Source organism: Homo sapiens, chromosome 15, assembly GCF_000001405.40.
Source record: "Homo sapiens chromosome 15, GRCh38.p14 Primary Assembly".
NCBI classification, from domain to species: domain Eukaryota; kingdom Metazoa; phylum Chordata; class Mammalia; order Primates; family Hominidae; genus Homo; species Homo sapiens.
The window spans coordinates 81,307,824-81,326,182 of record NC_000015.10 but is presented as its reverse complement, the minus strand read 5'-3'; the positions used below and the strand labels follow the sequence as shown (position 1 = coordinate 81,326,182).

Genomic DNA, 18,359 nt, shown 5'->3' with positions numbered 1-18,359 from the left:
TGTGCAGGAAGAGTCACTGGATCAAAGAACAAGTAGAGTAAAATTTTAATATATGTTGTTATTCTGTTCCCAGGAGGTTGCATACATTTGTACTCTCATCCGCTGTGTAACAACTATTTCTCCATACCCTCACCAACACAGGGTATAAACAAACTTCATGTTTGTCCATCAATAGGTTTTAAGAAAAGCCTCTCCTTGCTTTAATTTTTAATTCCCTAACAATGAGTGAGGTTCTGCATCTTTTTATAGCTTTGTTAGCCATGTCAATTAATTTTTCCACAAAGTATCTTTCCATGTCTAATGCATTCTTTTTGTTTATGGGGTTGTCTGAAAATTGCTTAATGATTTGTATGAGCCCTTGGTTCGATAAGAAAACTTATGTGTTAAAGTGTGTCCCGATTTTTTTCTCATATTATCTAACTTTTTATGAAATTTTGATGTGCTTAATTTTTTAATGGGATTAATTTACTAGTCTTTTCTTTTATGGGTCCTAAGAGTATTTACATGCGTTACTTCCCTCTCTCTTCACAAGGGCATAGGGAACATTTATTTGTTTGTTTGTTTATTTTTATTACTTTTTGAGACAGGATCTTGCTCTGCAGCCCAGGCTGGAGTGCAGTGGCGCGATCACGGTTCACTGCTGCCTCTGCCTCCCGGGTTGAAGCGATCCTCCCACCTCAGCCCCCCCAAGTAGCTGGGATTACAGCCCCGCGCCACCATGCCCGGCTAATTTTTGAATTTTTAGTAGAGACGGAGTCTCGCCATGCTGCTCAGGCTGGTCTCGAACTCCTAGGTTCAAGTGATCTCCTGCCTCAGCCTCCCAAAGTGCTGGGATTACAGGCGTGAGCCACCGGACCCCGCCAGGAACATTTATGATGTATCCCATTTCACCTTGGAGTAAACTGAAGCTCAAAGAATAATGAGTGAAACTGGGTTTAGATCTTGAGCTCCCTAATTCCCCATCCAGGTCTTCTTCACAGCCTGGCTGCCCTTCACATCTTCCAAAAAGGTCTTTCAAGTTGTCAATTTGTTTACACTACTCTTCCAAACATTTATATCGAAAGTTTAAAGGAAACAATAAGTACATAAAAAAGAAAGATAAGAAATAGACCTCAGTATTAACCTTTTCAAATATTTAGTTGGTGATAGCGCAGAAGAGGGGAAACCGAGGCTGTCCTTGCCATTCACGCTGTGAAGATGCGACCCTGGCTCACTCCCCGCAGCTCCAGGGCAGCTGGAAGCAGAGAACTCCCATATCTCTAATAAAGCCGGGCCTCTCGCAGATGTCAGCGCATTGCATTGACTCCTGGACACCTGCACTAAAGGCCCTTCAGGCACCTCCAACTAAATATGCCCAGAACTGAACTCACCCTATCTCTTCTCCATCTCAGGTAAGCTGCCAGGTGGCCAAGGCTGGGAGTCATGATGCTTTCTCCTTCTGAACATCCACAATCGGGGGCAGAGACCTTCACCTTCCATCTCCTAAACACTCTACGATGGGTCCTCTTCTCTTCACCCCCACTCCCCGCACCCCTGCCACACACCTCTCCCACCATTGCACGCGCCCAGTCTCCACGCGCATTTCCTCTCCCACCCTGCAGCAGCCGCCCTAGCATATTACCTCTAATGCAAATCGCACCACTGTCCCGCAGGCTGAAAGCCTCGGTGCACTCAGGACAAGAGTCCACGCTTCTTAAACAAACGGTCGACGTTGTCCGCGACCTGGCCCGGCCCAACGGGTCAGACCGTCATTGGCCATCTCACAGTCCCGGCGCTCCAGAGCCCCTCCCACAGCGGGACATGAAGGAGGCGGATACGGCTGGACCTTACCCGGCCCGCCCAAGGCGTCCGGGACCCGCCCAGGCGCTGACGCTAACTGGAGAGCCTGGCCCCGCGGTCTCCTTGTCCTGCCAATCTCCGGGAGGCGGGATCCGTCTGAGGGCCTGGACCAATTCGGGAGCGGGGGCGCGGAAAGAGGCGGGGCTACGAGCTCCTCCCAGAGCTCCAGCCTCCAGGCACCCGGGATCCAGCGCCGCCGCTCATAACACCCGCGACCCCGCAGCTAAGCGCAGCTCCCGACGCAATGGACCCGGCGCTGGCAGCCCAGATGAGCGAGGCTGTGGCCGAGAAGATGCTCCAGTACCGGCGGGACACAGCAGGCTGGAAGATTTGCCGGGAAGGCGTGAGTGAGGAGCTGGGCGGGAAGGGGTCGCGGAGACGGCTTCGTGGAGCCCGGGTCCCCAGAAGCCCCCAAGCGCCTCCTCTCCCCGTTGTTTTCTGCTCCCCAATCCCCTGGACCCGATTGAGAGGGATTCCAATGGGGATTGTTTTCTTCTTTAAAAAAAAGATTGGGCCTGTTATGCTCACAATGACTTCAGGTGGTAAGTATCTGTTCCTTTCACTCAGTGACTTGCCCAAGGTCACCTGGCTGTTGAATGCTGTTTAGGACTGGATGTTTCTGTGACAGTGGTAAAAGTAAATAAATTGCATTTAAGGGGTAAGCAGGTGTTTAAAAACAAAACAAAATGAAAGAATGTGGTCGCAGCTAAGGAGGTTTTTACATGTTGTTTAAATCCAGTAAAGTCTGATCCAGCATCTGATGCATACTAAGGTTTTCTTCTGTGTTCATTACAGCATGAACCCCTCTCTTTGTCGTTGCCAGAGGGTAGCATGGGAGTAGTTTTGCTTGACCCTTCTGACTTTTCATTACAGCATGAACCCCTCTCTTTGTCGTTGCCAGAGGGTAACATGGGAGTAGTTTTGCTTGACCCTTCTGACTTTTCATTACAGCATGAACCCCTCTCTTTGTCGTTGCCAGAGGGTAGCATGGGAGTAGTTTTGCTTGACCCTTCTGACTTTTCATTACAGCATGAACCCCTCTCTTTGTCGTTGCCAGAGGGTAGCATGGGAGTAGTTTTGCTTGACCCTTCTGACTTTTCATTAAGTAGCCCTGGGTTGCTCAAGGAAACAGAATGCCTGGTGGCTTTTAAGATAATTTTAAAAACCACCCACGGCTCTTGGAGTCAGCCAGTTAAGATCTTTTTCTTCATCACATTCTGCTGTGGGGACAGCTTTGCCCAAGACTAGTCCCAGCTTTTCCACGTATGGGTTGCACAGCCTTGGAGAGTCGTATCTCTTGAGGCCTCTTACCCCTCTTCTGTAGAACAGGGGATTAAGCCAGGTGACCAGAGCCCTTCTAGCTCTAAAATTCTGTGGTTCTGTGCCTTTTGACAGAATGGAGTTTCAGTTTCCTGGAGGCCATCTGTGGAGTTTCCAGGGAACCTGTAAGTGCATGCCTCGTTCAAAGATTACCAGAGGTGCCGCACCCTTCCTGGTATCTTTATGGGCCTGCCTCCTAAAATATTCAAATCAACCCTATAACCTGTGATCACTTGTCCTCCAGAAAAGCCTTACTGTTTTTAATGAAATCATTTCCAGCAAACTGTATTCTTGTGAAAGCTTACTGTCCATTTCTGCAGGCCTGAAGGGAGGCGGGGCTAGTGACTTTCAGCCCCTTCTCTGCAAGTCTGTCCTAAAGAGTAGTGACAGACATGGCATGGTCCACCTTCTAGTCCTTAGATACAATCTCAAGATAACAAGTTTGATTGATGCGTTGGGGTCAAATTCCTTTTCGTGCTCCAGGTACCGAGGAGAAGGCATTGTATATGGGACACTAGAGGAGGTGTGGGACTGTGTGAAGCCAGCTGTTGGAGGCCTACGAGTGAAGTGGGATGAGAATGTGACCGGTTTTGAAATTATCCAAAGCATCACTGACGTAAGTCTTTCCAAGCATGTTATCTCTAGATAGTGTCTGGGCCAGGCTATAGTAACCCCCTCCCATTTCTTCTGGAAGGGGTCCGTGATACCTTTTGTTAAGGGGGTGTGTCCTGCAAGCACAGGCTGCCCACTGCTTGCAGCATTGGAGGCCTGCCTCAGCCCAGTTTCCCGGTGGGAAACCTCATGACTCAGAGAGGGAGAGAAGCCCCAAACAGAGTCTCTGCGGGGAGCATACCTGTTCCTTGTGTGGGGCTGCTGCACTAGGCAACACAGGATCCTCAGCCCCTGGCACCCACTTCCCTGAAGCCTGGGCCAGTAGCAGCTCCACGTACCTGCATGACCCCAGTTACCCTCTGGTATGAGGGTCTTCACGCTTTTTGCTTACATGCATCCAACAGATTTTTGAGAAATTATGCATCATCCTCACACATCCAGTTGATGTCTATTAATAACATTTAGTTTACAACTAAATTTTCATAAGTTGCAAAGCATGTCATTTTTGACATGTAAATCTCAGTTTTGAACAAAGCAATGACATCATTCTTTTAGATGTGTCTAAATAATATATAAATTTTTACTTAAAATACATGAACAAGGTTTTTTAAATCATCAGAAATGGTATATAGCTGTTTTCCTGGAACTCAAATTTCCATTCCACATAGCCCTCTGAATTTTATCCTAATACAATACATGTTTATTCTTGGAAGTCATCATCTTGCATCATAAATATGCATAGAAATAGAAGTTTTTTTAATCATATATTTCATGTAATCATGAGACTAATTTTTTTTTTTTTTGAGACGGAATCTCACTCTGTCGCTAGGCTGGAGTACAGTGGCGTGATCTTGGCTCACTGCAGCCTCTGCCTCCTGGGTTCAAGTGATTCTCCTGCCTCAGCCTCCTAAGTAGCTGGGACTACAGGGGCACGCCACCATGCCCAGCTAATTTTTGTATTTTTGGTAGAGACGGAGTTTCACCATATTGGCTGGGATGGTCTCGATCTCTTGACCTCATGATCCCCCCACCTCGACCCCCCAAAGTGCTGGGATTACAGGTGTAAGCCACTGCGCCTGGCCAAGACTAATTGTTTTTTAAAAAATTGGATTGAGGTACGAGTGTAATTCATTAAAATAACATGATTATATTATAAATTCTGATAAATATTAAACGTGACAAGTAAAACATTTTGCGTCTTTAGATGAGATGAATGGGAGCTCTCTTTTTTCTAATTAACTCATAAGCCCATGAAAAGATACAAACTTTTCAATAGACAACTGCAAAGTAGAGGGGAAGCACAGGCTACTGGTGAGCTCAGGTTTACAAAAAAGTGGAGAATTGCCAAGTGGTAGCTCTTTATCATTTAGTGAAACAATGAAAATGTGGAGAAAGGGCTCTTCCTTGCAGACTGACATTTCTCAGCATGCTTTTGGCAACTCTCAAATATCCTAATTCTAAAATAGATAGATGATCGATGATAGGTGGATGGATGGATAGGATACAGGGCCATGCCATGAGTTTGTCGCATTTATGACATGTGCTGCTGCTGTCTTCAAAATTTCTTTCCAAAGTCCTCCTCATCTTAGTTTCCAGACACTGTACCTCAGGAATGATGCACTTGGAGGCAGTCATCAGGGGTGGAAGCAGTATGATTTTTTTTTCAAAATTTTCATCACTTCTGCCATTACTGTTACAAAATACCAGAATTTAGAAATGGCAAAATTGCCTAGTTTTTAACACCAAGTTTTGGAATATGCTTAAGAAAGGGAAAAACATGAAATTCTAATACCAGTGTGTACTGCCTTGATTACATATTGCCGCCCGCACTCCTAATTGTCCCTTTGCCACCCTGGAGGATTTTACACACTGGGACAATTCATGATAGGATGATTCTAGATGAATGGGCATATGCTGTGCTTTTCTTCAAGTGGGAAAGGAGACCCTGTGTGCAGGTGCAGCCTGTTCCCAGGCAGGTCATTAGGGGATGAAGGAAACACGGAGTAGTTTCCTGGAAATTTATTCTCATTGCACCCATTGCAAAGTGCTCAAGTGCCCCCATGCATCTCATGCCATTCGAAGATTAATTTCCTGAGGCCGAAAGTGTCCCTGATGAAAAGTTCTGCAGCAACACACGATGCCCCAAGTCTTAATACCTGAGGGGAAAGACACAGAGATGGAGACCTTTACCAGCCCCTCTCACCTACCCCGAGACTTCTCTCCAGGACTGTTCCATCACAGGCCTGGCCTGTACTTCTCCACTGTGACCTCGAGAGAGCCTGGGCCCCACTCTCTTGCAGGATGGGATGAATGGGAGAAAGCCCAGCATCCTTGGTTTATAAAATGAGAGTGTGGACTACTGGGATATGCTGAGATTGAGTGAGGTTCAAGGTATTCCCTCCTGGGGCTGGGACTAGGGTAAACCAAAGAGTTGCCCCAGGCACAACATAGGAGGCTGAGCAAGTGCAGGGTCAGCCCTAAAAAAGAGTGGCCTCTCTTCCCTCTCCCTAGCTCTGGCCCTGTTCAAATCCTATCTCCACCATGAGCTTCGTGCTGAGTTCCTTAGTCTCTCTAAGTGTCAGTTTCCTCACCTGTAGGAGGGATTAATGATTCCTATTTCTAAAGGTAAGGGACAGCTGAGAGCTTTGTCCAGCCAGGCTCTTACTAGGTGCTCAATAAATGGTACCTCTTATGGTCACATGAGACGTGACCTCAGCATGGCACTGGTCTGCAGCTAGACAGCTGTGGGCAGCCTGTGTCACAGCCCTCGTCTTACAAACTGGGTGTATTTCCATGACACCCAGTTCCTGGGAAGACTCGCTCTGGATCTTAACTGTTTATAGTGCCACCCTACTGTCAGCCCTAGTACCTTTCCCAGACCTTGAGGGATGGGGTGGGAGTTGGGAGAAGATGTCTGGCCAGCAGTCACAGCTACATGCTTCTTTGGTTTGGCAGACCCTGTGTGTAAGCAGAACCTCCACTCCCTCCGCTGCCATGAAGCTCATTTCTCCCAGAGATTTTGTGGACTTGGTGCTAGTCAAGAGATATGAGGATGGGACCATCAGTTCCAACGGTGAGTGATGCCCGGAGGAGCTGCCATGCCTTCCTGCGATATCGAGCTTTCTCTTCTGCACCCCACAGTTCCTTAAGGAAAGCCAAGCAACCAGAAATCACCAGAAACTCACACTCTGAGTCCCCTACCTCATCTGGTTGGGTTTGGGGGGACTCAGGGCCATGGGGGTCTGACGCAAGACAGTCCATATGCCAGTAATTCTATGTTCAAGTCACGGTTTTGCCAGTGCCCCTTTTTTTTTTTTCCTGCGGAAGCTCATGGTGTGTGCTGTACACATGTGGGTTAGTTGGGTGGCAAAAAACTTGTGTGCAAAATCTATGGCCGTGTCTTCTTGAGGGTTTGGATGCTGTCCACTCCCTTAATGCCCAGTGAGGAGCAGGGCTCCTGCCTCTGCACAGCCCCTGCCATTCCTCCAATTCTTCTACGCGGGAGAGTTGGATGCATCCATGCCTCTCCTGGCTGAGATTTGAGAGAGGCACCTGCCTCCTCCCATGACCAAACCTTGTGTTCTAGAATGTTCTTTTCTCTGATATTCTTGACAAGCTTGGGAAAGCTATGTGCATGTTTATGTGTGAATGTGGATGAGTGAGTGTGTGTGAGTGCAAGTGTGTGTGTGTCTGTGTGTGAGTTTGTGTACACGCATGTGAGAGTGTATTTGTATGTGTGAGTGTAAGGGGCAGTAGGGTGGGAGTAGGGGGAACTCACGCCAAGAGGCAGGAGTCCCTCACAGACTCCAGGGCTGCAGGTAGTCTGGTCTGTGTGCTCTATGGCACCCCAATGGCAGTGACCTGACCGTCTGAAGTTGTAACTCACCGAGATTCTGCACTGTCTTCCAGCCACCCATGTGGAGCATCCGTTATGTCCCCCGAAGCCAGGTTTTGTGAGAGGATTTAACCATCCTTGTGGTTGCTTCTGTGAACCTCTTCCAGGGTAAGGATAATTTCCTGCATTGAGGTACATGGCTCAGACCTAACTGTGACTTCCCTGTGGACCTTCTGTGAAAAGGGGCACTTTGACTACGATTCAAAAGAAGAAAAATGCCTTATAGCTCTTTAGATTGTGACGATACAAAATACTTTCACACACATCTGCATAAGCAGAACCTCCTGAGAGTACCTGGCATGTGGGAAAGAATTGAGGGGAGGCGTTACTCTTATTTTTGATGCAGGAAATTTTCCCTGCAGCCTCCAGGTTAAGCAAATGTCATGGTCCATTTAGCAAATGAGGAAACTGAGGTTTGGGGAGGTTCAGTGATGTGTCCTGACTCAAAGGCTAGGAGGTTGGCAGGGCAGGGTCTGTGCTCCGAGTCCTCCCTGAATACCCTCCGCCAGGCAGGAGCAGCTTTGAGGATAGCAGTCCCCACCCCACATTTCACTCAGTGATCATCTCTCCTCGGCAAGGAATGTGGCGGAACTCAGGCCTAAAGGGCAGTTCTGAGACCACACTGTAAGTCAGCCTCAGAATTGACCCCGGGGACTCTCTGTTCCCATTTTGCCACAGGTCATGGCCAGGCTCTTGCCAGGAAATTTCTGTGTAATGAATTACCTGAAGGTCCCTTGTTTACCCTGGGAATCATGCATGTTGACAGCAAAAGAAACTGTGCCTTGCAGGTGTGTCCCGGTGTTCCCTGCAGTCTCCATACAGACACCCGGAGGGAAGGGGTCTGTCCTTCTACCACATTGTCCCAGGAGGTGGGCCTCGGTGTCGTGGGATTATACCAAGCCCAGACCTAGCACCTTTATGTTACCCTCTTTGCTAAGCTGGCTTTTCAGACATCATGTGAAGACTTTTCTTAGATGTAACAAAATTTTGAGTTTGAAAATAGCACAGCTGTGCTCTACCACACACAGACATACACACCTGCACTCAGTTTCAGTTCTCCCAATATATAGGTGCCCTGGATCCCCTGGCCTGGGCTCATTTCCTTGTCCTCTCCCACCTGGTAGTCAGATGCTAAGACTCACCTTTCAGTGGTGCCGGGTCTGACAGAGAGGAATTTTCAGAATAAGAGGCAGAGTCCTTCCTTCTGAGGGGCTGAATCCCATTGCTGTCTTCTTTTTGGTGGAATGCACAATATAATGGGTAGCATCACGCCCTCATGCCAGGTAGCAAAGGTATCACATGGATTTTTTTTTTTTTTTTTTGAGACGGAGTTTGGCTGTCACCCAGGCCGGAGTGCAGTGGTGCAATCTTGGCTCACTGCAACCTCTGCCTCCCAGGCTCAAGCGATTCTCCTGCCTCAGCCTCCCGAGTAGCTGGGATTACAGGTGCCTGCCACCATGCCTGGCTAATTTTTGTATTTTTAGTAGAGCCGGGGTTTCACCATGTTGTCCAGGCTGGTCTTGAACTCCTGACCTCAAATGATCCCCGTCTTGGCCTCCCAAAGTGCTGTGATTACAGGCGTGAGTCACCGCGCCTGGCCCGATTGCATGGATTTTGCTGAGAGGGTGGTTGGGGTCCCACAAAACCCTGCCCATATGAAGGTTTTAACTCAAGTGTTGACTCTTCCAACTCCTCTCCACTTGATTAAAAACATCACGTGTTCTCTGTAAAGCTTTCTTCCAGAGCCTGCTGTGTGCAGTTATTCTCATGAGGCTGTGGATCTGAAATCTGTGACAATGATTATTCTCTTATTATTCTGTGAAGATAGGCCTATTCTGGACCCTAGATTCAGCAGACAATAATAACAGCAGCAGCAGCAGCAAACATTTATACAGCATTACTGTGTGTCAGCCACTATTGTAAGCACTTCATATAAATTAACTGTTTTTATAACAACCGTAAGGCACTGTTGTGATCCTCATTTTTAAAATAAGAATGGTGGGTGCACAGAGAGGTTTAGTAACTAACCCAAGGTCACACAGCCAGCAAGTAAGAGAGCCACAGTCTCATTCTGGCCATCTGGCTCCAGAATCTGGGCTCTTAACCCAGATATTGATGTCTCAAAACAGCTAGAGTGTCTGCCCTCTTAGAACTTAGATTCCAATGAAGGCAGGAGGAGACAGACAAAACACAAATGTAAGTAGTTCTATCTCGTGGATGTGCTAGTAAGTATCAGACGTTAAGTGCCTTGGGGAAAACTAAACCCAGATAAAGGTGCCAGGGAAAGGTGTGAGTGGGTTATCTAGGGGGTTTCCCTAATAAGACGTTTGAGCAAGGCACAAATGCAGGGAGTCTTGGGCGTGTTGGTGGAGCGAGCATTCTGGCAGGGGGATGAGCAGATGCAAAGTCCCAGAAGTGGGAGCAGGAGCCGGAGCAAGAGCGGGGCCTTTGAGGAACAGCACAGAGGGAGGTGTTGTGTTAGCAAGAGGAGAGGCTAGGACATTCGGCCCATGAGGTAGCAGGGGCCGCAGCCTGTTGGGGACTTTCCTCTGAATAAAATGGGAAGCCACTGGGGAGGCCTGAGCAGGACATGGTCTGACTTTGGTCTTAACTGCTATGATGCCCTGCTTCCCCAAAGAGGGTGAACTCCAGGGGACAGGGACTTCCTTCCATCTCAAAGCCTTAGCATCGTCTGCACTCCACCCTCTCCCTCACCCACCAACCCCTGCCCATCCCGCCTTTGCTAGGGCCTTCTCTCTCCTCTTGCTCTCTTGAGTAAGAGGCTGTGAGCAAGAGGGCAAGAGGACTCATTGGGGGTGAGGTGGTGTTGAGGCCAGAGGTGGTGGTGGTTGAGCTCCAAGTGGCGCGGGGGGCGGGGGAAAGGTGTTCTTAAGGTGGAGGAGCCTGTATCTGTGGTCGAGGCAGCATTACAGTGTCATTTCTGGAGCACTTGCACTGTGCACAGGAAGGATGCTAAGTGCGTCACACCTACTCTCATTAAATCCTTCTAGCAACCGTAGTGGATGCCTTCATCCCAGCCTTTTCTGAGGGGAGACTGGGTGACCTACAATTCCTCTGTGCCCCCTTTTGCCCTTTCTGTTGTTGTCACATAATGGTGTACATGCAAGAGCTACCACTCACCAAGGCCACTGTGACGAAGAGAGTTTGTCCCATCCCACATGGCCTCTCACACGTTCCGCCCACCACAAAGCCCATTCCTCACCCAGAGGGAAACATGATCACGGAGTCTCATTTCTCACTCACCTGTTCATGTTTCCAAAGAGGATGCTGCTGAGAGGTGATGCGGGCCAGAGGAAGCCCATTGGGAGGAGGAGCAGGGAGGAGAGAGAAGGCTCTAGCAGAGGCGGGATGGGCAGGGGTTGGTGGGTGAGGGAAAGGTGGAGTGCGGATGATGCTAGGACTTTGAGATGGAAGGAAGTCTCTGTCCCCTGGAGTTCACCCTCTTTGGGGAAGCAGGGCACAAGCAGAGGAGAAAAGCCACAGCCCAGAGGAGCACATGCTCTCCCACCTTGTGGATCTGCTGGCCCCATCCTGTTCCATGCCCCAGTTGTCCTTCTGTATGACTTGAAGAGTGAGATTCTTTTTTTTTTTTTTTTTTTTTTCTTTTTTGAGGTGGGGTTTTGCTCTTGTCACCCAGGCTGGAGTGCAATGGTGTAATCTCGGCTCACTGCAACCTCCGCCTCCCAGGTTCAAGCGATTCTCCTGCCTCAGCCTCCTGAGTAGCTGGGATTATAGGCACCTGCCACTATGCCTGGCTAACTTTTGTATGTTTAGTAGAGATGGGGTTTCCCCTTGTTGTCCAGATTGGTCTCGAACTCCTGACCTCAGGTGATCCACCTGCCTCGACCTCCCAAAGGTGCTGGGATTACAGGCATGAGCCACCGTGCTTGGCCCTGGGGAGTGGGATTCTAAAAGGTCTCCAGTTCCAAACCTGTAGCCTGCATGATGTCAGGAAACATCTGATGGGCAGGCATAGTGCTACCTGGGGTTCCTGGTGAGGCTGAGTGGACAGTTGCATTCAAGTAAAATGCCAAATGCACACCACAAAGCCTATACCACCTTTGTTGTCCTGGCCGTTGAGAAGTTTGTCACAGTGAAGATCGCTTCCTGTCCCTACCAAGTTGTGTTCCATCTCCACATCGTGTGCCCCTTTGATTCTGGACTTCCAGTCAGCATCTGTGCCACCTGCCGTCCTCTGAGCTTCTGCCACCCCTTGGCCAAAATCCCTTCATAGGTGCTCAAATTATTCGCCAGTTCTCTAAATAGCAGTTCTCAAAATTTTGGCATAAGGCATTATTATACCCTTACATATATTTGAGGGCTTCATAGGGCCTTTGTTCTTGGGGGTTATAGCTATCATTATTTGATGTATTTGAAATTGTAACTGGTAAATTTGAGAAATGTTAAAAATATTTTAACATAAAAATGCACTGCATGTTAACATAGATAACATTTTTATTTTAAAAAACTATTTTTTTAAAACAAAAAATACTGTGAAAAGAGTGGCATTGTTTTTATATTTTTGCCCATCTCTTTCATGCCAGGCTTAACAGAAACTCATACCTGCTTGTGCGTGTAGTCTGTTGCAATATCACATATCATGTAACCTCCGGAAAACCCCACTGTATGCATGTGAGAGAAGGCGAATCACATGTTCGTGTTGTTATAAAAATAGTGTTAACTTTGTAGACCCCTTGAAAGGGTCCCAGGAGCCCCCAGGAGGTTGCAGACCCTAAATAGTGAAGGGCAGCATCTCTTCGTTCCTCTCAGGGCCTGGCACAAAGTGAGTTCTCTGAAAGCATTTGCTGAGTGAATCGGGCAGCAGGGTACTGGGTTTTTGGGCTGGGAGTAGGGACTTCTTCCTCCCTGGAGGCCGGGAGAGGCTGTGGAATGCATCCCCGACAGGATGGGTTTCCATCCTGAAAATCAGCAGGTCCAGAGAGGACTCCTGGGTGGAGGGCACAGCAAGGGATGAGACGCGATCACTGTATCATGGCCATTTCCACTGGGCTGGGCTCTGCTCACCTGCCTGGCGCTCGTCCCCAGCACCTCTGCTGCAGATCATAACACAGCTCTGCTGTTGCCTTCACAGGGAACCCACCAAGACCAACCTGGTCACATTCTTCCATACCGACCTCAGCGGTTACCTCCCACAGAACGTGGTGGACTCCTTCTTCCCCCGCAGCATGACCCGGTTTTATGCCAACCTTCAGAAAGCAGTGAAGCAATTCCATGAGTAATGCTATCGTTACTTCTTGGCAAAGAACTCCCGTGACTCATCGAGGAGCTCCAGCTGTTGGGACACCAAGGAGCCTGGGAGCACGCAGAGGCCTGTGTTCACTCTTTGGAACAAGCTGATGGACTGCGCATCTCTGAGAATGCCAACCAGAGGCGGCAGCCCACCCTTCCTGCCTCCTGCCCCACTCAGGGTTGGCGTGTGATGAGCCATTCATGTGTTCCAAACTCCATCTGCCTGTTACCCAAACACGCCTCTCCTGGCAGGGTAGACCCAGGCCTCTAACCATCTGACAGAGACTCGGCCTGGACACCATGCGATGCACTCTGGCACCAAGGCTTTATGTGCCCATCACTCTCAGAGACCACGTTTCCCTGACTGTCATAGAGAATCATCATCGCCACTGAAAACCAGGCCCTGTTGCCTTTTAAGCATGTACCGCTCCCTCAGTCCTGTGCTGCAGCCCCCCAAATATATTTTTCTGATATAGACCTTGTATATGGCTTTAATGCCGCAAAATATTTATTTTTCCTTAAAAAAGGTGTCAACTTGGAAATAATGGTTTAAAAACAGGATAAGCATTAAGGAAAAACACTTTCAATGTGTCTTCCATTTGATGAATTTGTTTTTCTCTCTTTATCCCCGCAAGGTGGAGTTTCATGTCCTCGGTGAAACCAGACAGTGTGAATCTGTTCCAGCCCAAATCTGCAGCATTAGGGATGAGTTCTCAGAAGTGATTCTGAACTGAGCACGCACTCATGTCTGCATGGGGAACTCTGGGGAGAAGAGCCTTCCTTTTCTTTCCCTTGGGCATTTGCCTTTCCTTGTCGTCTTACTGAGGCGGAGGCAGGAGGTCTCTGTCTTCCAGGCCCTGGCCAGGCCATCCTGCCATCAGGAAAGATGGAAGAGTAGGCCTCCGTCTAGCAGCCCTGGCTGGAAATCCCCCCTCTAGATCCTGCTGCAAGACTGTACAAACTCACAGGGGCCATGTCCACCCAGGCACATCATCAGAACCAGGGAGCACAGCCTTGCCACCTAGAAGGGGCCTCAGCAGCCGTGCAACTTTCTTTCCCTATCTCCAATCCAGAGAGGGATCCTCTAACATTCTCTAGCAACCTCATCTGCACCCCCACCACCTTCCTTGTAAGAAAGACCACGTGTGACTAAAATCCCTTCACGCTGCATTTACCCAGGTTACTATTGTGCGCGCAAAATGTTTTCACAGTGTTCTCAGCCTTTGCTCCTCCAAACAGAAAACGTTTCCCCTGCGTTACTGTTACTTCCCTATTTTTGAGTCCTGGGGTGACTGTCTCTTAAATGTGCCAAGATGTGAGCAAGCTTTAAAACATGACAGCTCAGTGTTAAGGAGACAGAAAGCTTCCTCTTTCTCTGTTCTATTGCAACTACAAATTCTACAGTCATGCCTAAGATCCTTTAGCTAACACCCTTTTCAAGAAATCATCAGACTCTTGGATTGACTTAGAATTCATTCATTCATTAAGTGCTTACCGAGTCCCCGCTCTGTGGCAAGCACTGTTCTATATCAACTTCTCATGAGTTCAGCCAATTCTAGGTGCACCAGCCAAGGAAACTTCATGCCTGCCCTCTCTGAGCTCCATACTCTGAGGTGGTGGTCTTATCAAGATGGGATCGCCTTGTACATCCCTGTGTAGCCAAGTGGAAGGCCAGCCAACCAAGAATGCATCTCACTGGGCCTATGGGACATACTGTGCCTGCACTGCTCCTCCACGTGACTGCATCAGGTTAAACTGGTCAGAGCCCTGGATGAGGAGCTGGAAAACATGCATCCAGTCCAAGCTCTGCCACTTGGGCCAAGTGTGCTCTTGAACAGTCACTTAATATATCTGCTTTGATTTGTCTTTTAAAGAAAATATGGAGGCAGGAATACCAGTGTCAGTGTAGCCTGCTTCTTGAGTGTTGGCACAAGTGAGATAATGTATGAATCAGTAAAATGCTGGGCAAAGCAAAGAAGTAGGGCTGCCTGGGAGTGGATTCCTTTTTATGGTGAGTTAAGACGACTTCACAATTGTTAGCTGTGATGCCTGCAGTGTTTGAGGATGGCATTGCCTTCATCCTGTGTCAGCTCTGAAGAAGTTGGCAGAGCAAAGCTAAGCCTCAAGTGTAAATCCCAGCATCATGGAACGCAAATGGATGAGCTTTTGTTTTAGGATCTTCTTGCTGATTCCTACCCAGAGGACTTCCCCAGCCTAGAGACCAGAAACCTGGGCAATAGTTATATCTTCAGTGGCCCTAGGAGTTGTTGTGTCTCCTTGGGGAGGAGAGAACCTTCTAAAACAGGCCAGAGACAGGAGGTACTGGGAGGGCCATGGGCTCACCTGCATCTATGCCCAGATAACCTGGGACAGATAACCTCTGTCCCAATCACTTGCTTTGCCTGGTCTCTCAAGGAGTCTCTTGGTACCCCAGGCCCACGGCCAGCTCCATGCTCATCCCTGTCCCCACCTTCCAGTCTTGATGAAAACCCACCTTCTCTTTCATCCCTTGGCTGCTTGATAAGACTTAAAACAATTCCCTGATTTTAGGGAAGGCCACTGCGTGCACAGATGGTGAGTTTGTGCAGGCAAGGAATGTGCCCTCCACATCACGTGGCCTCCTTGCCCAGCCTGGGTCATGGGAAGGGAGTGTTGAATTGAATCACGTCTTTCGTTGGTAGATTATGTTCATCTTCAATGTTTCTATTAAGTCTAAAAAGTGGATACAAATGGTGCCTCCAAGTTCTTGTCTAATTGCTTGTCTACTGCTTGACAAAATCCAGAATGGAATAGGCCAAACAAGTTAACCAGCAGGACAGAAACTGCTCTAAGCCCATTATTCCTTGAGATGAATAGAACAGTGAGCTGAACGCCTGCTCTAATGAAGCCACTAAAGGGGTTTACAGGAAGGTTAGGAGCCCAGATGGGTTTTGAGTCCACTGCTGGGAAACAGATTCTTCACTTCCTGTGGACCCTGGAGAAGCCATCAGATTACATTAACATGGCTCCACTGATGATGGCCTGAGAATTACTATTGTTTGTGTTTCATCTGTGTCCTTGCCAGGTCTTCCCCCACATCCTTACTTCACAGGATCAGGGGCTGAGAGGAGACCAATACTCTGGCCCAGGCCTGGTCAAGGGATGCTGGTTGTTGCTGATGCAAAGTCACATTGCCTGGTCCTGAGCTTGGCAATCAGGCATCCAGAGATGGCCAAACCAAATATCCCTTTGGCCAGGCACTCAGGCATTCCCTGTAATGTTGTGCACTTAAAGCATCTTGGGCTGATAGTCTCCACCGAATCACAGAAGAAAACTCAATCTGCCGCATCACTCACCAGCTGGATAAGCCATTTACTGTACACAGTGTGTGCCCTCTTATCAATACATTGGCACAGAACCATACACCGTAGAAGCTGCTGTGATCACTAAAGGCAATGCCCGTTTAGCCCTGAGCACAGTGCTTGGCATGTGGTAGGTAAGTAGTAGCAATTTTATTTGATACCCTCATATACACGCTGGTTCCTTCTGTCGGCACACCTGTCCACGCTTTGAGCTTGGTGCTTCACCTGTACTCCTCTGTTTACTGGCTCCACCACCCTTCCCTAGGATTACTTCTCCAATCCAACCAAAAACAATTTTGCAAATGTTTCATGTGACAAACTGTATTTTTCATAAATGACCCCAGCAATATTTCCTCTCCCCTTAAACCCAGGCAGGTTTGTGTCAGCTCTAACTGATGGAGTATGGTGGAGGTGATGCCATGCAACTTCCAAGGCAAAGGTATAAACAAGATGCAGCTTCTACATGGCTCTTGCGATCCTGGGATGCTCATCCTGGGAATCCAGACACCATGTTGTGAGGAGGCCCAGGCCACAAGGAGAGGCCACCTATAAGCATTCAGGCCAGCAGCCCCAGGTGAGTTCCCAGCCAACATCAACGGCCAGATGTATGAGTGAATGATCTCACGTGGTCCCAGCCTTTGCATGACTTTGCATGACGCCAGCTGATGCCAAGTGGGACAGAGATGAGCTGCCCATTCCAATCTCTGCCCACATTGCAGATTCATGAGAAAAATAAATGTCACTGTTTGGGGGTGAATCATGACACAGTTACAGTACTTGAAACATTTTGCGAAGCCAGGCATGAATGTCATATGAAATTCTAATAAATCCATTTTATTTGTGGCACCACAATATTATCATTAAGCTCTCTTTTTACACAGTCTGCAATTTGTATCAGCTGCCCCCGTGTGACTCTGCCCTTATTTTAGGAACAACCTTTTGCTGGGTGGCGTCCTAGAAGGTCTGGGCCTGGGCAGCAGCCACTGGGAAGCCCACCTGTGCTTTCCCCCATCTGGGTGGGGCGGCAGCAGAGACCCTGAGAATCAGCGGTTATGGGAGCTGTGTGTTAGCTGTGTGTTATTGGCTTTGGCTTCAGCATGTCCTGCCTAGGAGTCTCCAGCAGCTGTGGTTTCCTTGGACTGGAGGCTTTTTCTCCTGATGACAATCGTGACAGGTCCATCAGGCAGTGCCTTGATGATGTTCCAGGCTTCAAACCGTGTGAGGCCCTGCATGGCAGTGCCACCCAGCTGTAAGATTTCATCTCCAGGCTGGACTGTCTCACTTTGTTCTGAGGCTGCTCCTGAAATGAGGGAGAAGGTAATGGGTTCCACAGATGATGGGGAACAAGGAAAGTTGCCTCCTCTCCTTGATCTCCAAAGAGCCAGGATAGCTTGGTAGAGAACAGGGCACCATCCCTTGGGAGCTTGCTTGTTGGTGGTTCTAAAATGAGGCATCTCTTAAGATGGTGACTCAGAGGTTAGGGCACCAGGCTCCAGCTCTCCATGGCCTTTGGAAAGGGATAGCCCTTGCTGTCCCCAGGGGAGGGAAATATCAGGCAGCTCCACGCCTTAGCCTGCCTGGAGCACCGTCCATAGTTCATAGAGGACTCTGGGGAGCTGAGTCCTGCCCAGACCCTGCTTTGGACACTGACCCAATATCCTACTCCCTTCACATTTGTTCTCCGCATGTGGTGAGGACATCAGCATTGGGTGGTATGGGAAGAGAGCTAGTGAGATTTTTGTGCAACAATATTTACAGGGATCTTGCCTCTGGCACGAAGTCCTCTGTGTCCACATAAAAAAGGAAACAACCATATATGGCCCCCACTATTTCAAAGCTGCAAGTGAAAACAATGCTATTTTACTGTTTATATTAAAATAAAATTTCCCATCCATTTGACACAGTGATCTTCACAAATCCTGATAAGAGTAGAAGATAATACTAATGATAGTAATGAAAATATAGCTAAAGTGTATTGGGCAATTATTTTAACAGGCGTTGTGCTAATGTTTTGCATTTATGACAGTAATCCTATGAGGGGTGTATTATTTGTGTTTCCTTTTAACAGCTGAGGAAACCAA

The 18,359-nt window shown here is 48.4% G+C and overlaps 2 protein-coding genes and 1 long non-coding RNA gene across 20 annotated transcripts in view, besides 4 other annotated features; 1 reads left to right on the top strand and 2 right to left on the bottom strand.

The window, feature by feature from the left end:
• TMC3-AS1 (TMC3 antisense RNA 1) overlaps nt 1–1,850 on the bottom strand; it is a 118,744-nt gene extending 116,894 nt beyond the window's left edge. Inside the window, exon 1 of the long non-coding RNA NR_120365.1 lies at nt 1,622–1,850. This is a non-coding gene — a long non-coding RNA (TMC3 antisense RNA 1). The remainder of the gene's footprint in view (nt 1–1,621) is intronic.
• Nucleotides 1,501–1,550: a silencer, noted in NCBI's record as "silent region_6743". NCBI's record gives its function as "represses an Ori minimal core promoter by ATAC-STARR-seq in GM12878 lymphoblastoid cells {active_cell/tissue: GM12878}" and the evidence as "EXISTENCE:reporter gene assay evidence [ECO:0000049][PMID:35858748]".
• A 191-nt stretch (nt 1,851–2,041) lies between the features above and the next one.
• Nucleotides 2,042–17,130, top strand: STARD5 (StAR related lipid transfer domain containing 5). 2 transcript variants are annotated; one of them, NM_181900.3, is made up of 6 exons: nt 2,042–2,182; nt 3,235–3,284; nt 3,643–3,775; nt 6,727–6,844; nt 7,681–7,774; nt 12,780–17,130. In NM_181900.3, the coding sequence occupies exons 1-6, from the start codon at nt 2,084–2,086 to the stop codon at nt 12,925–12,927; spliced, it is 642 nt and encodes a 213-aa protein (NP_871629.1). In that variant the 5' UTR covers nt 2,042–2,083; the 3' UTR covers nt 12,928–17,130. The 2 variants fall into 2 exon arrangements, 1 of the variants encoding a protein (NP_871629.1); NR_135013.2 differs by lacking the exon at nt 3,235–3,284.
• Nucleotides 10,587–10,666: a silencer, noted in NCBI's record as "silent region_6742". NCBI's record gives its function as "represses an Ori minimal core promoter by ATAC-STARR-seq in GM12878 lymphoblastoid cells {active_cell/tissue: GM12878}" and the evidence as "EXISTENCE:reporter gene assay evidence [ECO:0000049][PMID:35858748]".
• Nucleotides 12,099–13,298: an enhancer, noted in NCBI's record as "P300/CBP strongly-dependent group 1 enhancer chr15:81605226-81606425 (GRCh37/hg19 assembly coordinates)". NCBI's record gives its function as "activates an origin of replication core promoter dependent on BRD2, BRD4, P300/CBP, MED14 and CDK7 cofactors, with strong dependence on P300/CBP, by STARR-seq in HCT116 cells {active_cell/tissue: HCT116}" and the evidence as "EXISTENCE:reporter gene assay evidence [ECO:0000049][PMID:35650434]".
• The window catches only part of IL16 (interleukin 16), a 131,347-nt gene continuing 125,112 nt past the window's right edge, over nt 12,125–18,359 (bottom strand). For 15 of the 17 annotated variants that reach the window (NR_148035.2, XM_047432447.1, XM_047432448.1 and 12 more), the window contains one exon: nt 12,125–17,578. Coding sequence is in view for 16 of the 17 variants with exons in the window: in XM_047432447.1 (XP_047288403.1) it covers nt 17,385–17,578 (194 nt within the window). In the remaining variant the exon portion in view is untranslated. Of the gene's footprint in view, nt 18,116–18,359 lie in introns of all 17 variants that reach the window. The other 2 variants (XM_047432451.1, XM_047432452.1) reach the window with 1 other exon arrangement.
• Nucleotides 17,452–17,629: a silencer, noted in NCBI's record as "fragment chr15:81600895-81601072 (GRCh37/hg19 assembly coordinates)". NCBI's record gives its function as "represses an EF-1alpha promoter that drives an FKBP-Casp9 reporter gene in an ReSE screen in HepG2 liver carcinoma cells {active_cell/tissue: HepG2}" and the evidence as "EXISTENCE:reporter gene assay evidence [ECO:0000049][PMID:32094911]".

What these genes read in the sequence shown, in the direction of transcription:
- STARD5 (NM_181900.3), top strand. Translation starts at nt 2,084, where the DNA reads ATGGACCCGGCGCTGGCAGCCCAGATGAGCGAGGCTGTGGCCGAGAAG. An exon ending in GGAAGATTTGCCGGGAAGGC is followed by an intron (nt 2,183 to 3,234) that starts GTGAGTGAGGAG and finishes GCCTTTTGACAG; the next exon opens with AATGGAGTTTCAGTTTCCTG. An exon ending in TGGGACCATCAGTTCCAACG is followed by an intron (nt 6,845 to 7,680) that starts GTGAGTGATGCC and finishes ACTGTCTTCCAG; the next exon opens with CCACCCATGTGGAGCATCCG.